Here is a 22470-nt window from a genome sequence, read left to right as displayed (position 1 = left end):
GTGAGGTGGAGGGGACAGAGGGAGGCAGGTTCCGAATACAGTAGACCTTAGGCCTTCGGGGATTTGATGATTTCATCTATTCACGCCATATCTTAAGCAGTTCAGCCAGTGAGCTAGTGCAGCATACATAACTGTACATGGCTTTGTTGTTGTCAATGTTAGAAGTTTCATGCCAATTAAAGAGTGGAATAATAAAATCAGTGGTGGCTGTACTCTCCATGGTAAACAGGTCTGTTTGTTATGTGATTTAGACAGCAACAAGAAACCTCAATTCAAGCAATTGCTTCAGGTGTTCAAATCAGTATAAAATTACTCATCAGAGGGGTTTTCCTCTGCTTTGGGTGGTGGCCGCTGCCAGACTTCAGCTTCCAGTCCGCGGAGGCCAAGGCAGCGTAGACAGAGGCCCTGGCACCCAGCGCCCCGCCGCCCGCAAGCCTCGCGCCTGTCCGCCGCGCCCCGAGCCCGCCGCTTCCGGTCTCAGCGCCTGCCGCAGCAGCTGCGGCCCAGCGAGCGGCCCAGATGCAGGCCATCAAGGGTGTGGTGGTGGGAGACGGAGCTGTAGGTAAAACTTGCCTACTGATCAGTTACACAACCAACGCATTTCCTGGAGAAGATATCCCTACTGCCTTTGACAATTATTCTGCCAATGTTATGGTAGATGGAAAACTGGTGAATCTGGGCTTATGGAATACAGCTGGACAAGAAGATTATGACAGATTACGCCCCCTATCCTATCCGCAAGCAGATGTGTTCTTAATTTGCTTTTCGCTTGTGAGTCCTGCATCATTTGAAAATGTCCTTGCAAAGTGGTATCCTGAGGTGCAGCACCACTGTCCCAACACTCCCATTATCCTAGTGGGAACTAAACTTGATCTTAGGGATGATAAAGACAGGATCCAGAAACTGAAGGAGAAGAAGCTAACTCCCATCACCTATCCGCAGGGTCTAGCCATGGCTAAGGAGATGGGTGCTGTAAAATACCTGGAGTGCTTGGCCCTCACAAGGCGAGGCCTCAAGACAGTGTTTGACGAAGCGATCCGAGCTGTCCTCTGCCCACCTCCCGTGAAGAAGAGGAAGAGAAAATGCCTGCAGTTGTAAATGTCTGAGCCCCTAGTTCTTGGTCCTGTCCCTTGGAACCTTTGTTCGCTTTGCTCAAAAAACGGTGGAGCCTTTGCACTCAATGCCAACTTTTTGTTACAGATTAATTTTTCCATAAATCCATTTTGAATCAATCAGTATCTTTTAGGTTTTGTTTGTTCTAAATGTAAGAGTTCAGACTCACATTCTATTAAAATTTAGCCCTAAAATGGAAAAAAAAAATTACTAATCAGAGGAAAACCAGAACTTTAATTTATTTCAAAAAGGCCTGAAGAGGCCGGGTCGGTGGCTCACGCCTGTAATCCAGCACTTTGGGAGGCCGAGGCCCACAGATTGCCTGAGCTCAGGAGTTCAAGACCAGCCTGGGCAAAAACGTGAAACTCCGTCTCAACTAAAATACAAAAAATTAGCCAGACGTGGCGGTGTGCGCCTGTACTCCCAGCTATTCAGGAGGTTGAGGCTGGAGAAGCGCTTGAACCCAGGAGGCAGAGGTTGCAGTGAGCCAAGATTGTGCCACTGCACTCCAGCTCAGGCAACAGAAAAAAAAAATCCTGAGGAACACAAATATGACAACAGAAATGAAAGTGGCAATCTTAAATCTGAGGGTTCCCAATGGTCTCCAGATCTAACCCAGGAGAATGTTAGGGGTCTACTAACATTAATATTCTGGCCTTATCTCAAGACCTCAGCCTCCCCAGTGTGAGCAATGCCTTGGTCTCTGGCTTTCTTCTCCTCAAGTATTTCTACTTACAACCTATTTGCTGCCAGTGTCCAGCCTGAGAGCATCTTGGCTTCTATCATTTTCACCATGCAATATCAAGTGTTATTCACAAAAGAGCTCATAGGCTGGATAATACAAAATGTTAGCATCACAAAGCAGTCAGAATTGCTTGCTATTTTCAAAACCCTGCCTGCATGTGACTCTTCTAGGAACTGTAGTTTGAGATTCTAGAATGTGAGGACAAATTCTAAGTGGGCTCAGATTTCATTTTGTTCCCAGAATCACGTACCATTAGACGGGACCTTAGAGATAATCTAGTTCCATTTCCACTCTTTTATATTATAAATGAAGAAACTGAAACTCAGAGAGGGGAATTGACTTGCCTAAGAACTGACAGAAAAGGTACTAGAACCAAAGGCTTTCAGTGTCATGTTCAGTGAATTTTATGGCATTCCTCTTGGTTCTAAGAAGGCCTATGTGTTTTAAGATATCACGGACAAACAGTGAACATCATGTCTCCATTCAGTGAATACTTTGACCTCAAACCAGTCAAATAAAGATTTTTTTTTAAATTATACTTTAAGTTCTGGGCTATATGTGCAGAACGTGCAGGTTTGTTAAGTAGGTATACACGTGCTGTGGTGGTTTGCTGCACCCATCAACTCGTTATCTATATTAGGTATCCCTCCCCTAGCCCTCCACCCCCCGACAGGCCCCAGTGTGTGATGTTCCCCTCCTTGCATCCATGTGTTTCATTGTTCAACTCCCACTTATTAGTGAGAACATGGGGTGTTTGGTTTTCTGTTCCTGTGTTAGTTTGCTGAGAATGATGGTTTCCAGCTTCATCCATGGCCCTACAAAGGACATGAACTCATCCTTTTTTATGGCTGCATAGTATTCCAAGGTGTATATGTGCCACATTTTCTTTATTCAGTCGATTGTTGATGGGCATTTGGGTTGGCTCCAAGTCTTTGCTATTGTGAATAGTGCTGCAATAAACATACATGTGCATGTGTCTTTATAGTAGAAAGATTTATAATCCTTTGGGTATATACCCAGTAATGGGATGGCTGGGTCAAATGGTATTTCTGGCTCTAGATCCTTGAGGAATTGCTACACTGTCTTCCACAATGGTTGAATTAATTTACACTGCCACCAACAGTGTAAAAGCATTCCTATTTCTCCACATCCTCTCCAGCATCTATTGTTTCCTGACTTTTTAATGATTGCCATTCTAACTGGTGTAAGATGGTATCTCATTGTGGTTTTGATTTGCATTTCTCTAATGACCAGTGATGATGAGCTCTTTTTCATATGTTTGTTGGCCACATAAATGTCTTCTTTTGAGAAGTATCTGTTTATATCATTCACCCACTTTTTGATGGGGTTGTTTGTTTTTTTCTTGTAAATTTGTTTAAGTTCCTTGTAGATTCTGGATATTAGTCCTTTGTCAGATGGATACATTGCAAAAATTTTCTCCCATTCTTTAGGTTGCCCATTCACTCTTACGATAGCATCTTTTGCTGTGCAGAAGCTCTTTAGTTGAATTAGATCCCATTTGTCAGTTTTGGCTTTTGTTGCCATTGCTTTGGGTTTTAGTCATGAAGTCTTTGCCCATGCCTATGTACTGAATGGTATTGCCTAGGTTTTCTTCTAGGGTTTTTAATGGATGTAGGTCTTACATTTAAGTCTTTAATCCATCTTGAGTTAATTTTTGTATAAGGTGTAAGGAAGGGGTCCAGTTTCAGTTTTCTGCACATGGCTAGCCAGTTTTCCCAACACCATTTATGGAATAGGGCATCCTTTCCCCATTGCTTGTTTGTGTCAGGTTTGTCAAAGATCAGATGGTTGTAGATATGTGGTGTTATTTCTGAGGCCTCTGTTCTGCTCCATTGGCCTATATATCTGTTTTGGTACCAGTACCATGCTGTTTTGGTTACTGTAGCCTTGTAGTATAGTTTGAAGTCAGGTAGCCTCCAGCTTTGTTCTTTTTGCTTAGGATTGTCTTGGCTATACGGGCTCTTTTTTGGTTCCATATGAAATTAAAAGTAGTTTTTTATAATTCTGTGAAGAAAGTCTCCCCCCCGCACCCCCCTTGTCCTCCTCCTCCTCCTCCTCCTCCTCCTCATCTTCCATTTCTTTCAGCTGGGCTCTCCTACTTGTGTTGCTCTGTTGCTCACGCTGGTCTCAAACTCCTGGCCTTGACACTTCTCCCGTCACATCTGCCATCTGGTTGTTGAAATGAGCATCTCTCGTAAAATGGAAAAGATGAAAGAAATAAACACGAAGACGGGAAAAAAAAAAAAAGTCAATGGTAGCTTGATGGGAATAGCGTTGAATCTATAAATTACTTTGGGCAGTACAGCCATTTTCACGATATTGATTCTTACTATTCATGAGCATGGAATGTTTTTCCATTTGTTTGTGTCCTCTCTTATTTCCTTGAGCAGTGGTTTGTAGTTCTCCTTGAAGAGGTCCTTCATATCCCTTGTAATTGTATTCCTAAGTGTTCTATTCTCTTTGTAGTGATTGTGAATGGGAGTTCACTCATGATTTGGCTCTCTGTTTCCCTAATATTGGTGTATAGGAATGCTTGTGATTTTTGCACATTGATTTTTTATCCTGAGACTTTGCTGAAGTTGCTTATCAGCTTAACGAGATTTTGGGCTGAGACAATTGGGTTTTCTTTTTCTTTCTTTCTTTTTTTTTTTCTTTTTTGAGACAGAGTTTCGCTCTGTCACCCAGACTGGAGTGCAATGGCGTGATCTCAGCTCACTGCAACCTCTGCCTCCCAGGTTCAAGTGATTCTCCTGCCTCAGCCTCCGGAGTAGCTGGGATTACAGGCATCCACCATCACACCCAGCTAATTTTCATATTTTTAGTAGAAATGGGGTTTCACCAGGTTGGCCAGGCTGGTCTTGAACTCATGACCTCAGATGATCCCCCCGCCTCTGCCTCCCAAAGTGCTGGGATTACAGGTGTGAGCCACCATGCCTGACCAATGATTGGGTTTTCTAAATATACAATCATGTCATCTGCAAACAGAGACAATTTGACTTCCTCTCTTCCTATTTGAATACCCTTTATTTCTTTCTCTTGTCTGATTGCCCTGGTCAGAACTTCCAATACTATGTTGAATAGGAGTGGTGAGAGAGGGCATCCTTTTCTTATGCCAGTTTTCAAAGGGAATGCTTCCAGCTTTCGCTCATTCAGTATATTGGCTGTGGGTTTGTCATAAATAGCTCTTATTATTTTGAGATACGTTCCATCAATACCTAGCTTATTGGGAGTTTTTAGCATGAAGGGGTGTTGAATTTTATCAAAGGCCTTTTCTGCATCTGTTGAGATAATCGTGTGGTTTTTGTCATTGGTTTTGTTTATGTAATGGATTACATTTATTGATTTGTGTATGTTGAACCAGCCTTGCATCCCAGGGTTGAAGCTGACTTGATTGTGGTGGATAAGCTTTTTGATGTGCTGCTGGATTCGGTTTGCCAGTATTTTATTGAGGATTTTTGCATGGATGTTCATCAACGATATTGGCCTGAAATTTTCTTTTTTTTGTTGTGTCTCTGCCAGGTTTTCATATCAGGATGATGCTGGCCTCATAAAATGAATTAGGGAGGAGTCCCTCTTTTTCTATTGTTTGAAATAGTTTCAGAAGGAATGGTATCTGGTAGAAGTCAGCTGTAAATCCATCTGGTCCTGGGCATTTTTTCGTTGGTAGGCTATTAATTACTGCCGCAATTTCAGAACTTGTTATCGGTCTATTCAGGGATTTGACTTCTTCCTGGTTTAGTCTTGGGAGGGTGTGTGTGTCCAGGAATTTATCCATTTCTTCTATATTTTCTAGTTTATTTGCATAGAGGTGTTTATAGTATTCTCTGATGGTAGTTTGTATTTCTGTGTGACCAGTGGTGATCTCCCCTTTATCATTTTTTATTGTGTCTCTTTGATTCTTCTCTCTTTTCTCCTTTATTAGTCTGGCTAGTGGTCTATCTATTTTGTTAATCTTCAAAAAATCAGCTCCTGGATTCATTGATTTTTTGAAAGGTTTTTCATCTCTTTATATCCTTCAGTTCTGCTCTGATCTTAGTTATTTCTTGTCTTCTGCTAGCTACTGAATTTGTTTCCTCTTGCTTCTCTAATTCTTTTAATTTTGATGTTGGAGTGTCGACTTTAGATCTTTCCTGCTTTCTCCTTTGGGCATTTAGTGCTATAAATTTCCCTCTAAACACTGCTTTAGCTGTGTCCCGGAGATTCTGGTACATTATATCTTTGTTCTCATTGGTTTCAAAGAACTTATTTATTTCTGCCTTAATTTTGTTATTTACCCAGTAGTCATTCAGGAGCAGGTTATTCAGTTTCCAGGTAGTTGTGCGGTTTTCTGTGCGTTACTTAATCCTGAGGTCTAATTTGATTGCACTGTGGTCTGAGAGACTGTTTGTTATGATTTCCATTCTTTTGCATTTGCTGAGGAGTGTTTTACTTCCAATTATGTGGTCAATTTTAGAATAAGTGCAATGAGGTGCTGAGAAGTATGTATATTCTGTGGATTTGGGGTGGAGAGTTCTGTAGATGTCTATTAGGTCCACTTGGTCCAGAGCTGAGTTCAAATCCTGAATATCCTTGTTAATTTTCTGCCTTGTTGATCTGTCTAATATTGACAGTGGGATGTTAAAGTCTCCCACTATTATTGTGTGGGAGTCTAAGTCTCTTTGTAGGTCTCTAAGGACTTGCTTTATGAATCTGGGTGCTCCTGTATTGGGTGCATATGTATTTCAGATAGTTAGCTCTTCTTGTTGCATTGATCCCTTTACCATGGTGTAATGCCCTTCTTTGTCTTTTTTGATCTTTATTGGTTTAAAGTCTGTTTTATCTGAGACTAGCATTGTAACCCCTGCTTTTTTTTTCTTTCCATTTGCTTGGTAAATATTGCTTCATCCCTTTATTTTGAGCCTACGTGTGTCTTTGCACATGAGATGGGTCTCCTGAATACAGCACACTGATGGGTCTTGACTCTTTATCCTATTTGCTAGTCTGTGTCTTTTAATTGGGGCATTTTGCCCATTTACATTTAAGATTAATATTGATATGTGTGAATTTGATCATGTCATTATGATGCTAGCTTGTTATTTTGCCCATTTGTTGATGCAGTTTCTTCATAGTGTCAATGGTCTTTACAATTAGGTATGTTTTTGCAGTAGCTGGTACTGGTTTTTCCTTTCCATATTTAGTACTTCCTTCAGGAGCTCTTGTAAGGCAGGCCTGGTGGTGAAAAAATCTCTCAGCATATGCTTGTCTGTAAAGGATTTTACTTCTCCTTTGCTTATGAATCTTAGTTTGGCTGGGTAGGAAATTATGGGTTGCAAATTCTTGTCTTTAAGAATGTTGAATATTGGCCCCCACTCTCTTCTGGGCTGTAGGGTTTCTGCAGAGAGATCTGTTCTTAGTCTGATGGGCTTCCCTTTGTGGGTAACCCAACCTGTCTCTCTGGCTGCCCTTAACATTTTTTACTTCATTTCAGCCTTGGTGAATCTGACGATTATGTGTCTTGGGGTTGCTCTTCCCAAGGAGTATCTTTGTGGTGTTCTCTGTATTTCCTGAATTTGAATGTTGGCCTGTCACTTTCAGGTACACCAATCAAATGTAGGTTTGGTCTTTTCACATAGTCCCATATTTCTTGGAGGCTTTATTTGTTCCTGTTCATTCTTTTTTCTCTAATCTTGTCTTCACACTTTATTTCATAAAATTGACCTTCAATCTCTGATATCCTTTCTTCTGCTTGATCAATTCAGCTATTGATACCTGTATATGCTTCAGGAAGTTCTTGCGCTGTGTTTTTCAGCTCCTCCAGGTCATTTATGTTCTTCTCTAAACTGGTTATTCTAGTTAGCAATTCCTCTAACTTTTTTTCAAGGTTCTTGGCTTCCTTGCATAGGGTTAGAACATGCTCCTTTAGCTCAGAGGAGTTTGTTATTACTCACCTTCTGAAGCCTACTTCTGTCAATTCATCAAACGAATTCTTTGTCCAGTTTTGTTCCCTTGCTGGTGAGGAGTGGTGATCCTTTGGAGAAGAGGCATTCTGGTTTTTGGAATTTTCACCCTTTTTCCACTGGTTTTTCCTCATCTTCATAGATTTATCTACCTTTGGTCTTTGATGTTGGCGACCTTCGGATGGGGTTTCTGTGTGGACGTTCTTATTGTTGATGTTGATGCTATGCCTTTCTGTTTGTTAGTTTTCCTTCTAACAGTCAGGCCCCTCTGCTGTAGGTCTGCTGGAGTTTGCTGGAGGTCTACTCCAGACCCTGTTTCCCTGGGTATCACCAGCAGAGGCTGCAGAACAGCAAAGACTGCTGCCCGTTCCTTCCTCTGGAAGCTTCATCCCAGAGGGGCATGCACCAGATGCCAGCATATGAGGTGTCCGTTGACCCCTGCTGGGAGGTGTCTCCCAGTCAGGAGGCACGGCGGTCAGGGACCCACTTGAGGAGGCAGTCTCTCCCTTAGCAGAGCTCAAAGGCTGTGCTGGGAGATCTGCTGCTCTCTTCAGAGTCAGCAGGCAGGAAGGTTTAAGTCTGCTGAAGCCGCACCCACAGCCACCCCTTCCCCCAGGTGCTCTGTCCCAAGGAGATGGGAGTTTTATCTATAAGCCCCTGACTGGGGCTGTTGCCTTTCTTTCAGAGATGCCCTGCCCAGAGAGGAGGATCTAGAGAGGCAGTCTGGCTACAGCGGCTTTGCCAAGCTGCGGTGGGCTCTGCCTGGTTCAAACTTCCTGGTAGCTTTGTTTACGCTGTGAGGGGAAAACCGCCTACTCAAGCCTCAGTAATTGCGGACGTCCCTCCCCCCACCACCAAGCTTGAGTGTCCCAGGTCCACTTCAGACTACTGTGCTGGCAGCGAGAATTTCAAGCCAGTGGATCTTAGCTTGCTGGGCTCTCTGGGGGTGGGATCTGCTGAGCTAGACCACTTGGCTCCCTGGTTTCAGCCCCCTTTCCAGGGGAGTAAATGGTTCTGTCTCGCTGGTGCTCCAGGCACCACTGAGGTATGAAAAAAAACTCCTGCAGCTAGTTCAGTGCCCAAATGGCTGCCCAGTTTTGTGCTTGAAACCCAGGGCACTGGTGGTGTAGGCACCCAAGGGAATCTCCTGGTCTGCATGTTGAAGACCGTGGGAAAAGCATAGTATCTGGACCGGAATGCACCCTTCCTCATGGCACTGTCCCTCATGGCTTCCCTTGACTATGGGGAGGGAGTTCCTAGACCCTTTGCACTTCCGGGGTGAGGTGATGCCCCATCCTGTCTTGGCTCACCCTCCATGGGTTGCACCCACTGTCTAACCAGTCCCAATAAGATGCGCTGGGTACCTTAGTTGGAAATGCAGAAATCGCCTGCCTTCTGTGTTGATCTCCCTGGGAGCTGCAGACCGGAGCTGCTCCTATTCGGCCATCTTGCCAGTCAGCCAAACCAAGATTTTTAAAGGCCCTTTTTTCCAGTCCTGAGACACTTTTATTTTGGGGGGACTCCATGGTTGTCAAACATATCAATATGTCCTCTCTTGAGAGTGTGTGTGAGCTGTCTTTGTGTTTACTTTCAAGAGAAAATGACTATTCTCATTTTCTAGATCTCCACTTGAGCCCTATTCCAATGTGATTATGCCCACCATTCTTGCCTGTACCTACCATTGTCACCTCCAAATCTGGAAATAGGGTTTGAGAGTGACGAGTGTGCCCTCTGCTGACTGGATGTCTGCTCTGCAGTCATGTCCAAACAACTCATACTTGCACATTTAGAGCCTCAGCTACCTGAGAGATACCTTACATGGAACCAAGGCAAGAACAAGAATTTATTTATCTCTTATAAAGACTCTTAAAATGTTATGGCAAATCAATGTCTTTGATACTTTGTATTAGTCCTTATAATGAGGAAAGAAGCTATTATTAAAGAAGTTTCCAAGTTCTGATTTTCTACATATTTTTTCAGAAAACTACATTTCTAACATTTACCATCCTCCCACTCTACATAAAAAGTTAAAACATATAAACAGTGCTTTAAAATGTGGACTATAACTCAGTACAATAACAAGCTTTTAAAATAGAACTTAAAAGGAGCCCCTTTTCTGAGAGCATGAAAAGTAATTGGAAATACATTTTGAGTGCTTCCTAGATCCCTAGCTCTCCTGGGGTGTGCTTTAGGATGTGTCACTTTTCTCACATGCCTCTTCCTACCCTCCCCCCACCAGAGCTGCCTTGGGAGCTGCAAGCCTCTCATTCTCAAGCCTTTTCAGCTGGAGGCCTGGCTGCACTCTCCCAGCATTGCTTTCTATCAGGGCCTCTCCTTTCCCACTCCCTTTCTCATATTCTCTCTCTCTTTCTTTCTTTCTCTTATTTCTTTCCTTCCTTCCTTCCTTTCTTTATTTCTCTTTTTTCTTTCTTTTTCTTTCTTCTTTCTCTTTCTTTTTTCTCTTTCTTTCCTTTCTTTCTTTCTCTTCCTTCCCTCCCTCCCTCCTTCCCTCCTCTTTCTTTCTTTCTTTTCCTTCCTTCTCTCCCTCCCTCCCTTCTTTCTTTCTTTCTCTCGTCTCTCTCTTTCTTTCCTTTCTTTCGCTTTCTCCCTCCCTTCCTTTTTTTATTCCTTTCCTCCTTCCTTGCTTTCTTTCTTCTTCTCTTTCTTTCTTTCTTTCCTTCCTTCCTTCCTTCTCACTCTTTTTCTCTTCCTTTCTTTCTTTTCCTTCCTTCCTTCTTTCTTGCTGTCTTTCTCTTCCTTCCTTCCTTTGTTCTTCCTTCCTTCCCTCCCTCCCTCCTTTGTTTCTCTCTTTCCTTTCTTTCTTTCTCCCTTCCTTCCTTTCTTTCTTCCTTCCCTCCCTCCTTCCTGTCTTTCTATTTCTTTCTTTCTTTTTCTTTCCCCTTTCTCTCTTTTCTTTCTTCTTTTTCTTTTTTTTCTTTCTTCACTGCCTGAGATCAAGAGAGGCACCTCTAAAGCTACATACAACCCCACAAAGACAGACCTTGGTGCTGACACTGGAATTTGTTTGCCACCTGCAGAGAAAAGTAGATACCACTAAGGAACAAACATCAACCCATTTGAAAGTCTCTAGGAGCTCAGTGTTAGAATTAAGGCATAGATCTAGTTGGGAATGGGGCTGGATGGGGGTTGGAATCTCATGATTCTCTGCACATTCTCTTCAACCACCTGGGAGAGTTGGCAAATCCACATTCCTGCTTGGGATTCTGACTCAAGTGTAACTGTAGTTTGATTCCTCATGAAGGACAGGAAATGTCCCAGAGAGATTTAGAGAGATAGGGAGGGAGATAGAGAGGGAACAGGAGATGATAGGGAGGGAGCAGGGGATAGAGATAGAGAGGGAGCAGGGGATGCCTCAGGATTAGGTTTGAGCAAGAGAAGAAACAAAGGAAACCTTCAGACCAAGAAGGTGAAATAAGCCCAGGAAGATCCAGGAGGAAGAAGGAACATGAGAGTAGCTCCAGAATGGTGAACAAAACCTGAGTTCTTATTCAACCTGAAACACAGGAGAATAAGGGCTTGCCCCAGTCACTGCTCCAACTTACACCTTTGTTACCAGGTGGCAAACAGCGGCCACCTTTAACTCCCAGCCAAGCAGCCTGTGGTCACTGCTTCTGAACCTACTGAGGAGCCGTCCAAAAACTGTGTTAGAAAGGACAACTGTTACGATTCATGTTGACAATATTTCAAGATATGGGGCCAGTTGCCAGGTACAAATCCAGATATGTTAAGGAATGGTAGAAAAACTTGAATCCAATGTCCAACCCAGATTTTTTTTTCCTATTTAATTAGAAGCTGGAAAAGACCATCAAGGGAAAGCTTAACATCATTGTCCTTGGTGAGAAAAACTTAGCCCTGGGTTGAAGAAAAGATTTTGCTGCGGGAGGTGGGAATGGGGTTGGGCGGGTGGGTGTGTGAGGTGAAGCTGAGAGTTGGTTGCTGCTGCTCGTTTCCGGAGGAGGTGGGAAGTATTCCAGCCACAGCTCAAGGCACTCCGGGGACAGTTAGAGGGGTAGCATTCCCCAACTCCCCACCCCCTCCCCCGCCCCCTCCCCCGCCCCGGGAGGACGCGCCGCTCGTAAACTTAGTGCTGTTGTTCCTTTGGGTAGAGGTTTCCTGGATTTGGCGACAATTGGCGACCTGAGGGTGGGGGGTGGGGCGCGGAGGTGTGGGCCCTGAGAGAGTGTGTGTGAGCAAACGTCCCAAGCTACTAAGAGGTGGGATTTGTCTTCTCAATTTGTGGAGATAGGCTTTAATTTTGCCCAGCGAAGTTACGCCAACCTGATCAGTTTTTAACAGATGTTCCTAAGGTGTCGCTGGGGAACTTCAGGTCCACTTTCTCCACAAATGACGTAGAGAGTGCCAGGCTCTATGAGAATCGCGAGCATTCAAAATCTCTGATTACTGCACTTGGGCTGGGCTTGGGTGAGGTTTCTTCGGTTGCATTCCCCCCACGGCCCCAGACCTGATCCACTGCTTCCCACCCCATCCCCTGGGCCAGGCAGGTGCCTGCGTGGTGCAAACCCCAACCCCAACAACCCCCTCCCCCGCTCTACCTGTACCCCTGCGTCCCCGGAACCCTGGACTGGTCCGCATACTGAGTGCGTTGCGCGGTCTCTGTTGATTTAATACAAGTGCACCGTGAACGCGGAAAAATAAATAGCAGGAAAGACTTTTCTCCGTAGTGAAAAGTCTTTTCGAATAAATAAAAAGAGGCTGAGTTTTCACTGTTGAATGTAAATTCCTTTGAAGTGGAACTAATCATTTCAAGGATAGTTCACGTTGTCCTAACAACGCGGGTGAATGGCAAGAGCCCTTCTTTTTGTTAAAGATATGTTTTCTTTCTTTCAGTCAAAACTGATGATGATAACCCTTTCACGCTCTGTCCTCCAGGATCGTAAATCTCCACTCCCAGCTACCTAAATCGCACTTTCAGAAGCCAAGCCCCAGCGGGTGACCGCTTCTCAGACGGGGACCGGAGCACACCAGCTTCCCTCGGCCTCCCCGGCCCCCACCCCTGGGCTCCCCGCGCCCGTCGGAACCTTTCAGGGCCCACCTCCAGACCGTAGGGGGCGCTGCGGCAGGGGGAGCGGGCCGCCTGGATTGGGGTTGCAGCTGATCCCTGGGGAAGGGGGAAGTCTTGGGGTGCGAAGGCTGCAACTTCAAACTAAGCGGGATGCCGCGAGCTCCATACCCTCTAAGGCCCCTGTCAATCTCCTGGCCCCAGGAATGTGGAAAGTGTTCACAAAGGCTGAGTGTCCCTCTCCCGCCTTTATCAGCAGCTGGTGCCCACTTATTGGGAAGAAAAGGTCATCCCGAAACAATCCCGGCTGGCCAAGCTCAGATTCTAACTTTTCTCTCCCAACGGGCGCCTCCCTCAACAATCCCGAAGATCCTTGTGGCCCATGCCCCGTGGCCTCCCTAGCCCGCGGCGCTGTAGCCCACCCCTTCCTCGACGCCCCGGGCCCTTGCGGCCGCCGTTTGTGATGAACAGGAGGGGAGGGCTCGGACTTGCGACCCAAGAAAGTGTACTTGTCACATGGAGCGGGAGAGAGTTGCTTCCAGTTCACCTACTCCAGGACCCAGAGGTGAGGGAAGGGGCCCAGACATCCATGAGACCTCTCTTGGGTCCCAGAAACGCTAACCCTGGGGTCAAGGACATCTAGCTGGGTTCCCCCGTGCTAGGGCGAGATGGCCTAGCCCTTCCTCGTTCTGGGTCCCGAAAAACATAGGAAAAGCCCGCATCAAAGCAAAAGGGGAAGTTCTTCGGGCCGAACAACGAATACGGCGGGCCATGAGCAGCGGCAAGGGTGGGCCAGCGCCGGACACGTTCTGATAGAGCGTGGTGTCGGAGCTCCCTGGAAGAAGCAGGCTGGGCACTTAGTGTCCAGTTTCCACCCAGAACAAGGTGGCATTCTGGCGGCCCGGCCCAGGCAGGCCCTGCTGGCTTCCCAGCCCCCCTCCCCCCGGGCTGGGGGTGGAGCGCTGTACAGTTGCAAATGTCGAAACGGAAAGCGAGGGGCTGGTCTCTTCGCCTTCATTCGCGCCTGCTTTTGCCTCTTGGGGAGATAATTTGGCCTCGGTCAGACCCCAGCGTTGACCATTTGCATTTGCCTGGGTGTTAAGCGTTTCGCCACATCCTCGGGTGAGGACCCGCCTTCGCGCTGCGGGCGGTCTCTTCAAGGCGCAGAGCGGGTGCGGCCTCCCAGAAGTGGGCTGAGAGGGTGGAGGGGGCATCCCTCCGGCCCCCGTCTCCCACGCACTCTGGCTTGTGGGTTCTGGCGGCGCCCGACACCCGAGTCAGCATGACCACCCTTGCACCGCTGTCTCCTGCGGGCACTTTGGGACCCAGATTAGGGGGACCCGCGACCCGGGAGGAAGAACTCAGGGAAAGTTCATCTGCAGGGCAACTCCGAGGAGCTTGGAGCCACTCGCTAGCTCAGCTAGGGCTCTGATTATTCAAAAGAGGTCTTCTTTCTTTAAAACAAAACGAAACAAAAATTTCAAACTCGAGCAGGAGACTGTGCTCCGCCAACTAGGAGATATGGGCGGGGCCCGGCGGCAGTTTCTGCCTTGTATCCCTATGCTCCGGGGGGAATATTTGGAGGGCTTTGGGGCAAACTGGGGACAGTTTTGCGGGAATCTGCCTTCTCCTTTCCGACGAGCCGTGCTTGTTGATGGCCCAGGGTAGCCAGGGCATTGTTGGCACGTTGCTGTCAAGGGTCCGATCTCAGTTTCCACATCTGTTAAGAGGGAGCAATAATACCTCCCACCGTTGCTTGGAGAAAGGGAACTGTTGTGAAGCACTGGGTCTGGCACACAGTAGGTGTTCAGAAAAGTCTTATTCCCTCTCTGTACCCTTCATGCACGCCCGGCCCTTTAACTCGCCGACGTGGCTGGCCAGAAAGGTTGAAAAGGAAAACCCCCGTGAGGCCGAAGGCGGCTTTATTGTCCGTATATTCTTGCTTGTGGGGTGAGCTCGGGACCCGAACCTTGGAGACCCTGGCCCGCACGCGGAGTGGCGTAGTGCTAGCTACCGCAGCCCTCTCCCCTGGCCTCAACTGGGACCTGGGCGCCGGGACTCAGGGGAGAGCCGCCTGGGGGCCCCTCCTAGCCTCTGGGCCTCTAGCCGGATAAAGAGGTTTAGAGGCCATCGTCGAGCACTTCAGGAAGCGAGGGAACAGGATCCGGAGGCAGCGCCCTGTGCAACTTTGGCAACTCGGAGGACGCGGGCGGCCCGCGCACTGACCCTCTCCTTGGCCCACGTTTGCCCCTGAATTGCGCTCAACCGACTGCCGGGGCCCGAGGCTGGGAGCGGCAGCCTGCGCCTCGTTTAGCCGGGCTGGCGGCTAGCGGCCGACGCCGACGGGAGGGAGGGACTATCTGGCTGCTCGTTCCCGCCACGGAGCTGCCTCTGTGGAGGTAACATCTGTGCCCACCCCCTCCCCCATCCCCTTCCTCCCTCCAAGCCACCTCTATTTTTTTTTTTTTAAAGAAAGAAAACGAAAAACCAACCTTCCTTTCCCTCCACAATAGAAGCACCAGGGGGCCTTTCACTTGGCCAATCTCAGGAGTTTCATATGAACTTCATTAAATCAATTACTCGGTGAACACATCACAATTTATTTGCAATTAGTATCAAAATGTCTTACTTTTCTTAATAGGTCGGAGCAGATGTAGCTACAGAAGGGACAACGCGTTTTCGTGAAATCTATCTCTTGCAACATATTAAATTTTCTGGTCAGAAGAGAAGGGGAAATTCAAAGGCAGTTTAGAGAAGTAAAAAAAAAAAAAACAAAAAACAAACAAAAAAAAACACGCTGGAGACAAATGCGATCCGTGCAGGTGTTGGAGCAGCTTGCGTTATAATTGTTATCTAGCGAAAAGGTTGTCTTTATTATCCGTAATGATCGAACAAAAGTCACCGTAATTAAACGTCTGGTTTTCTCCTATGACTGAGAGGTGCGTGTCTGAAAGGCGCCGGGTACAGCGAGGGACTTCAGAAATGGTTAACAAGACGCCCCGTTCTTTGAATAGTGGCTTTGTCTTAATGGGGGTGGGGGGGTGGGGAGAAGAGACAGAAAGAGAGAGAGAACAGTTATCTAATTTTCATTGCCCCAAACCAGAGATTTATTGATTGCGACAACAGTTTTATTGTACTCAGGGAGGGGGTTGCTGCAGGTTTATAGAAACTGATTTACTTTCGTTTGGATGTAAAATCATATGCAACAGTCTCCCGTTGGAAGGTTGGACCTCAGCTCCTGTTAATACCATTAGTGACACAGGATCGAATTTCAAATGAAGCCTGGTGACAATTACAGACGGAAACAGATGCCCTTGGAAATTTAGGTCAAGTGTTCAAGATTCTAGTTTCATGGTCAAGGTTGTCTTGGGGGAAACCTTGAGGAGAGGCTCATAAATCTTTCTTCCTCTCTGAATTGGGGATGAGCCTTCCAGGGGCGTGATTCGTGGAAGAGGGGGGCAGAAAATTTAATTAGAGGGTTCTCAGGTCACCGAAAAAAGAAGACATGCCGGAGTGTTGTAAAACTGGGCAAGTGTGCTGGGCTGGACTGCGTGTGTGTGTGTGTGTGTGTGTGTGTGTGTGTGTGTGTGTGTCAGAGGCGAGCTACTCCTGGGGGCACTGGGTGAAGAACTGCGCGGGCCAGAGCTGCAAAAACCTAGATTCCCGCGTCCCATTTAGTGCCCAGCAAGCATACACAGCCACTGTCCCTTAGCCTCTGAGCCTTATTTTTATTCATCGGCAAAATGGGAAACACGGCTCCGGCCTGGTCTTTCTGGAAGACTGGTGGCGAGGATTAAGTGTGATAACGAATTTGAGAGCGTCTAGGCTTTTAAGTAGAAGGTACCATTATGAGAGTGCACCTCCTCCCTTTGCGTTTTAATCCGTTGCCCCTCTGCTAAGTGACAAAGACAGGCTGTCTCTGCTCCTTCTCCATGCGGGAACCTTCTTTGAGAGCTGCCCGCTCTGGCTCTGGCAGCACCCGCGTCTTCCTTCGGGGTAGAAAATCATGTCTTTCCACCCGGCTGTCATCCCAACCGGCGTCTTTAAGCGTGGCAGTCTTCGGGGTTTATGTCCCTCTGGTGGGTGTTTTCCACTTGACAACTCTTTTAAAGACGTAAAACCATATTTTATTTACTGCCTACTATAAATTATTTACTAGCAGGCTGAGGTAATTCCATTAAAGCCACACGGTTTGTTTATACTAAATAGTTATCTGGGGACTCCTTGCTCTCCTTAGAGCTGCGAGGCTCCGGGAAGGTGGGGACCGTTCGCGCGCGCGAGATACCCACAGTAAGAACAGGGATCCATTGGTAAGGAAAACGGCTATATTTCTCTTGAGGATTAATTAGAAATTAAATACAATGTAACGATCGTCGTTTTTGTTTGGTGTGAGGTGCCACTCCCAGCTCCATTTCCTCACCTTCCGTCCTCGTCCCCCTCTCCCCGCCCCCCGCCCCCGGGCCCCCGCCCCCCGTCCTCCACCTCCGGTATGGACTGGCTCACACTTGGTAGCAAGATAACTTCTTTAAAGGAACTAACTCGACATTAGTTAGCATCAATCAGACTTGGGTGAGGAAGGAGGATTTAGCTGGAGGAGATATGCTTAGGGCCATTCCTGGGAGGGGGAGGGGAGGAGAAGTCCCGACCTCCTCGCTTGAGTTGCAGGGGGAGGAAAGCACTGCGGAACTTTGTCTCTGGTCCCCTCCCCCAACACGTGGATCCAGGCAAAAAGAGAGTAGAAAAAGACAGCCTGAGGGAAGGCACTAGGCCATATAGATTGGCTGTGCGTGTGCGTATTTGTGTGTGTGTTTGTGTGTGTGTGCGCGCCCGCGCGCGTTCGCGGGTGCCTGTATCTCCTTCGCAAAGATTTTAGCACTGGCCCACTGAGTTACTTCTTTCTACTTCTCTGACTCAGTGTGTGTTATGTGTATATAAAACAATTGATATCTGTCTCTCAACTTAGGGACCTCTCTCAAAACATCAAACAACTCAAGAGGTATACTGGCCTTTAGGAGAGGGGATGGGATTAGGCAACCCAACCATAAATGAAATTTTTGTCTGAACTCGCTGCCCTGAGTTATGTTGGCCTTGGAAGGGAGAAAGGATTTATCTATTTCTGTGAAAGTCTTCTTTAAAATGGGCTCTAGAGGAATGTAGTAATGGTGTGTTAGTTTCCCACCTGGTTTTGCAGATGGGATTTTAGAATGCTTGGGTTATCACCATAACACAGGGAGAGATAAACAAGACAACTGGACAAAAAGCCAGTTGTCTAAAGCAACTTGCAAGTGATAAACAAAAAGACCATTTGTTGTTTAATTTCTTTTTTTTTTTCCTTTCAGCTGAAATAGAGATGCAAGGTAGGAAAAAAATCACATTGGTCTCAGTGAGTGAAAGACCTACTGCTGAAAAAAAAAAAAAAAAGACCTACTGCTGTTCATTACAGAGCTTAAGGACTGGAATTGACCTAAACATTCCGAACACATCTTACATTCTCAGTAGTTAGGTTCACCAATAATTTAAAATCCAAGACATATTTTTGGATTATATTTCTCGGTAATTCGGTTACCTTTATTAAATTCTCTTTTATCAAAAAGGGGGAGAAAACTATAATATGTATTAACACCTTAAGTATGCAAACATGCATTAGGCATTTTGTGATAATGGAAATGCAGGTTAACCCTGTGAACACCAAGTCAAATGTACTATCTAACCACACATCTCATTAGCCCTATTTAGAGATCTTAAAAAAAAATTGGTGCAATTTACATAACAAAATTAACCATTTAGAAGTGGTATTTAGCGCATTCACAATGTTGTACAACTAGCACTACTACCTACTTACAAAACCTGTTCTTCAACCCCAAATAAAACCCTCTACACGATCAATTTTGTCACTCTCCATTCTTCCCTCCTCCTAGCCCCAGGCAAATCTTTTTATATTGGTGCTTTTATTTCTTAAAACAAGTATTTTCCTCAAGAGCAAAATTTCTGTATGCTACTATTTCCTTAAACCCTGTTTTATCACATTCTATTCTGTACATCTAGCTACAGATACAAAGAGAGAGGGGATAAACGACATAATCTGCTTATTTGTATTTGTTCTAGAAGCCAATAGGTTTCCAGACTGGTATTTGCAACATGGGTCTTTTTAATGAGCGGGTGGATCCCTGGGTAACACTTACAAATACTTTGCTAGACATTGTGGGAGGGACATGAGTTTGAGGCAACAGTTAATCTTGCTGTCATCAATAGCAAGTGGATTAGAGTGGTATTTTCTCTTTTGAAATGTAATTCATAAAGTTTAACAAAGCAATAGTTATAGTCAACCTTTTGGGAAAAAAAGAGTGCGAGGATGAGTTGTTGCAACCATTTGTTTCTGGCCATCCAAACTGTGCCCTGAATTCACGATTATGGAAAAACTTTGTGAATAGCTTAGAATTGTCAGAGTCCCATCTCCTTGCTCCAGTGTGTGCTGATGCATTCATTTATTTCACGCAGGCTCACCACAAAGACAAAGGGAAATATGACTGTGGCTTAAGAATTTTAATCAAAATTGAAGCTACCATTCATGTAACTAGGACCACAGTGTCTGAAGCAGTTGGAGAAGCCATTGCTGTAAGATGGCAACGAGAGGTCAGGATTGGCCCAGAGTCATGAGCTCAGACAGATTTTTGAACCCTGTCTACCACCCTGGATTAATGTGGAATTAAAGGAGTAAAGAATGTATTGGTGGGCAGAATCATGGGTGGTCAGTTCTGTAGTTCAACATTTTGCTTTATTCTATTTGGAGAATGAGAGCTTTCAGAGGAGCGAGCTGACTTTGACCCTCATTGATAATATCATTAAAAATATACAATACATTTAAAGTTTGGACTAGTGCATCATGAGGGGAAAACAAAAAGTGGTATTCAGAACTGTTCCATTTCTTCTGATACATTTTTACAAATGAAACATATTCTCCTCTTTGCCTTAACCATTCTTTCTACAGCAGAGTTGTTCAGCCTTGTCACTATGGACATTTTGGACTACGTATTTCTTTGTTGTGGCAAACTGACGTGTACATTCTAGGACGTGTAACAGCATTCCTGGCTTCTACCCACTCAGCAGATGTCTTTGAAAATTGCCAAATGTCTCCTCAGGGCCAAAATTGTTCATGGTTGAGAACCATGGTTCTACAGTGTTTGATTTTGATACAAATTATTTCTTTTTGGCTGAACTTTGTAAAACATATAATCTTATTATCAGCAAAGATCTCAGGGATTCATTATTCATCAAATAGGGAGGCTATTAAGAACAAAAACCTGGATTTAAATCCTATATACTAGCTCTGCGACCTCAGAAGAGTCATTTATCCTCCCTGAGCCTCAGTTTCCTTTTCTGTAAAAAGACCCTCAGAAGATCCACGTGAGGATTCAATTAGATAATGCATGCTTAGAGCTTAGCACAGTGTCTCTCACACAGTAGACAAGTGATAAGCGTGTGCTATGTTTAGTTACTAGATGCTTACTGTGTGCCAAGCAATGTGTGAAGCCCTCTTCTTCATTGTGGGATTCCTGTTCCATGGCCATGACAGATGGGAGCGGTAAGGGCTCAGCCTTCTTTATTAAAACAATCACCTGCAAAGCATGACGATTTTCCGAAGAAGCACCGCTAGGCTGTTGCCGTGCCCTCAGTCCTTGGTTCTTCCTCACTCTCCTGGGGGTCTCTTTCTTGGATATTGAATGCCACTCTCATGCTCCCCCTTCTAGTTCCTCTGACTCAGGACCAGTTAGGTACAAAAACCCCTTTCTGTGTTTTCCTTTGCACAGCTGGGAGAACTGACATTTTCCAAGAGAACTTTACTAATCACTAAGGGGAAATAAAAGGAAACAATTATAGAATAAACAAGCAGCATAAAAATAGATTTCTGAAACAGAAGTTTCTGATCTTTAAACACCAGTAAAGGTTGCAAAGAGCCTTACAAGGTTCCACTCCTCCTTCTAACTACGTCCTAATGCAGTCCCTGAGAAGACAGTACATTTATTCATTTATTTAACAAATTGTGAGTGTCATGAAGGCAATAAAACCAAGCATTGTAATAGAGTTGACTGGATCGGGATGGGAGGGTCGGGGTGGTTTTTGGCAAAAATGATATTTGCACTTAGGTCTTAAGAATGAGAAAGTGCTTGTCTAATGAAGACCTGGTGTGCGAACGTTCCAGGTAGAAGAAACAGCAAGTGGAAGTGCCCTGAGGCAGGGCTGAGCTGGGCATTATAATAACAATGCTCACTATATTCCAAGCACTATTTGAAGAACTTGCCATATACAAATTCACTTAATTGAGTTGGTATCTATGAGCTAGGTACTATTATTATTCTATTTTATTAATAGGGGACATTGAGGTACAGGAATCTTAAGTAAGTTGCCCAAGGTCACAGAGCTACTAAGTGGTCAAGCCAGAATTCAAGTCCAGGCAGTCTGGCTCCAGAATCTAGGCTCTTAGCACTACACTGCACCGCCTGGGGCTTGGAGAGAGTAAAGAGAAGTGTGGGGCAACAGGAGCCTGGGGAGGCAGATGGAGGCCAATCCATGTGAGGACTTTTTAGGCCTGGGAAGGAGTTTTTCTTTATCCTATGAGCAGTGAGTAGCCCCTAAACTATTTTTAGCAGAGACATGACATGATTTTGTTCACATTTTCACAAGCTCACTCTGGCTTCTTGTTGAGAATAGACTGTAAGGGTCAAGGGTAGAGTCGGCAAGACCAGTTAGTGGTTATTGCAGTCATCCAGGTGGGAGATAAGGAAGAACTGGACTAGGATGATGACAGTGGAGAGAAATGAAGGGATTCAGTAAATATGTGGGAGGTAGAGTTGGCAGGACCCTCTTAGTAAACCAGGTGAGGGAGGTTAGGTGGAAAAAAAAGAAAAAGAGTAACAAATCAAAGATTACTGATAGGTGTGGATTTGAGCAACCAGATGGATGGTGGTACCTAGGTTCTTTCTTGCCCTTTACTCATGTGGACTCTGGCTGCCATCTTGTCTTTCTGACTTCTAGGAACTGTTCAGCCTTTGAATTCTTCCTTCCTTTCAATTGTTCCTTCCCAGGACAAATGCCAATGCTATTTTTCAGAATGCTCAGAATACCCAGGTTCTCCCCATTCAATTCCAGTGTTTAATTTGAACAAATGCCTGGTTCAGAGCTAGGTTGCATGACAAACACCAGTGTTTAACACCCTTGAGACAGTCTTCCATTCACCCTCAAAGCATTCTGGGATAATTCCTTCAGGTAACTCCATTACCCATGTATAGGCAGTATGGCCTAAAGAATAAAAAGCACAGCATGGAGATTGGGGTCACAGGCTCTGGAGTCAGACACATATTCAAATCCCTGCACCACCACTGATTATCTGTATGACCTTAGACAATTTACTGAACCACTTGAAGCTTCAGTTTCCTCATCTGTAAAATGGTTATACTCTTTTTCATCGTTAAATGAAAGAACACATGTAAAGTGCTAATTAAGTACCCAGCACATCATGTCTATTAAAATTGATCATTATTACTATGAATTTTCACCCATTCGTTTTAGTTCTGGCCTGGAAGCAATAATAAATATGCTTCCTTTTCCTCAAGGTA

The 22470-nt window shown here is 45.3% G+C and overlaps 1 pseudogene, besides 2 other annotated features; it reads left to right on the top strand.

Annotated features, from left to right (window-relative positions):
* Positions 325–1309, top strand: RAC1P4 (Rac family small GTPase 1 pseudogene 4; annotated as a pseudogene).
* Positions 13609–14535: an enhancer, noted in NCBI's record as "NANOG-H3K27ac-H3K4me1 hESC enhancer chrX:136509980-136510906 (GRCh37/hg19 assembly coordinates)". NCBI's record gives its function as "activates a minimal SCP1, AML or CMV promoter by ChIP-STARR-seq in naive H9 embryonic stem cells {active_cell/tissue: H9 hESC(naive)}" and the evidence as "EXISTENCE:reporter gene assay evidence [ECO:0000049][PMID:30033119]".
* Positions 14536–15463: an enhancer, noted in NCBI's record as "H3K27ac-H3K4me1 hESC enhancer chrX:136509052-136509979 (GRCh37/hg19 assembly coordinates)". NCBI's record gives its function as "activates a minimal SCP1, AML or CMV promoter by ChIP-STARR-seq in naive H9 embryonic stem cells {active_cell/tissue: H9 hESC(naive)}" and the evidence as "EXISTENCE:reporter gene assay evidence [ECO:0000049][PMID:30033119]".

Source organism: Homo sapiens, chromosome X, assembly GCF_000001405.40.
Source record: "Homo sapiens chromosome X, GRCh38.p14 Primary Assembly".
Lineage (NCBI taxonomy): Eukaryota > Metazoa > Chordata > Mammalia > Primates > Hominidae > Homo > Homo sapiens.
Note: the sequence above shows the minus strand (reverse complement) of the source record. Positions and strands in the feature narration are given on the sequence as shown.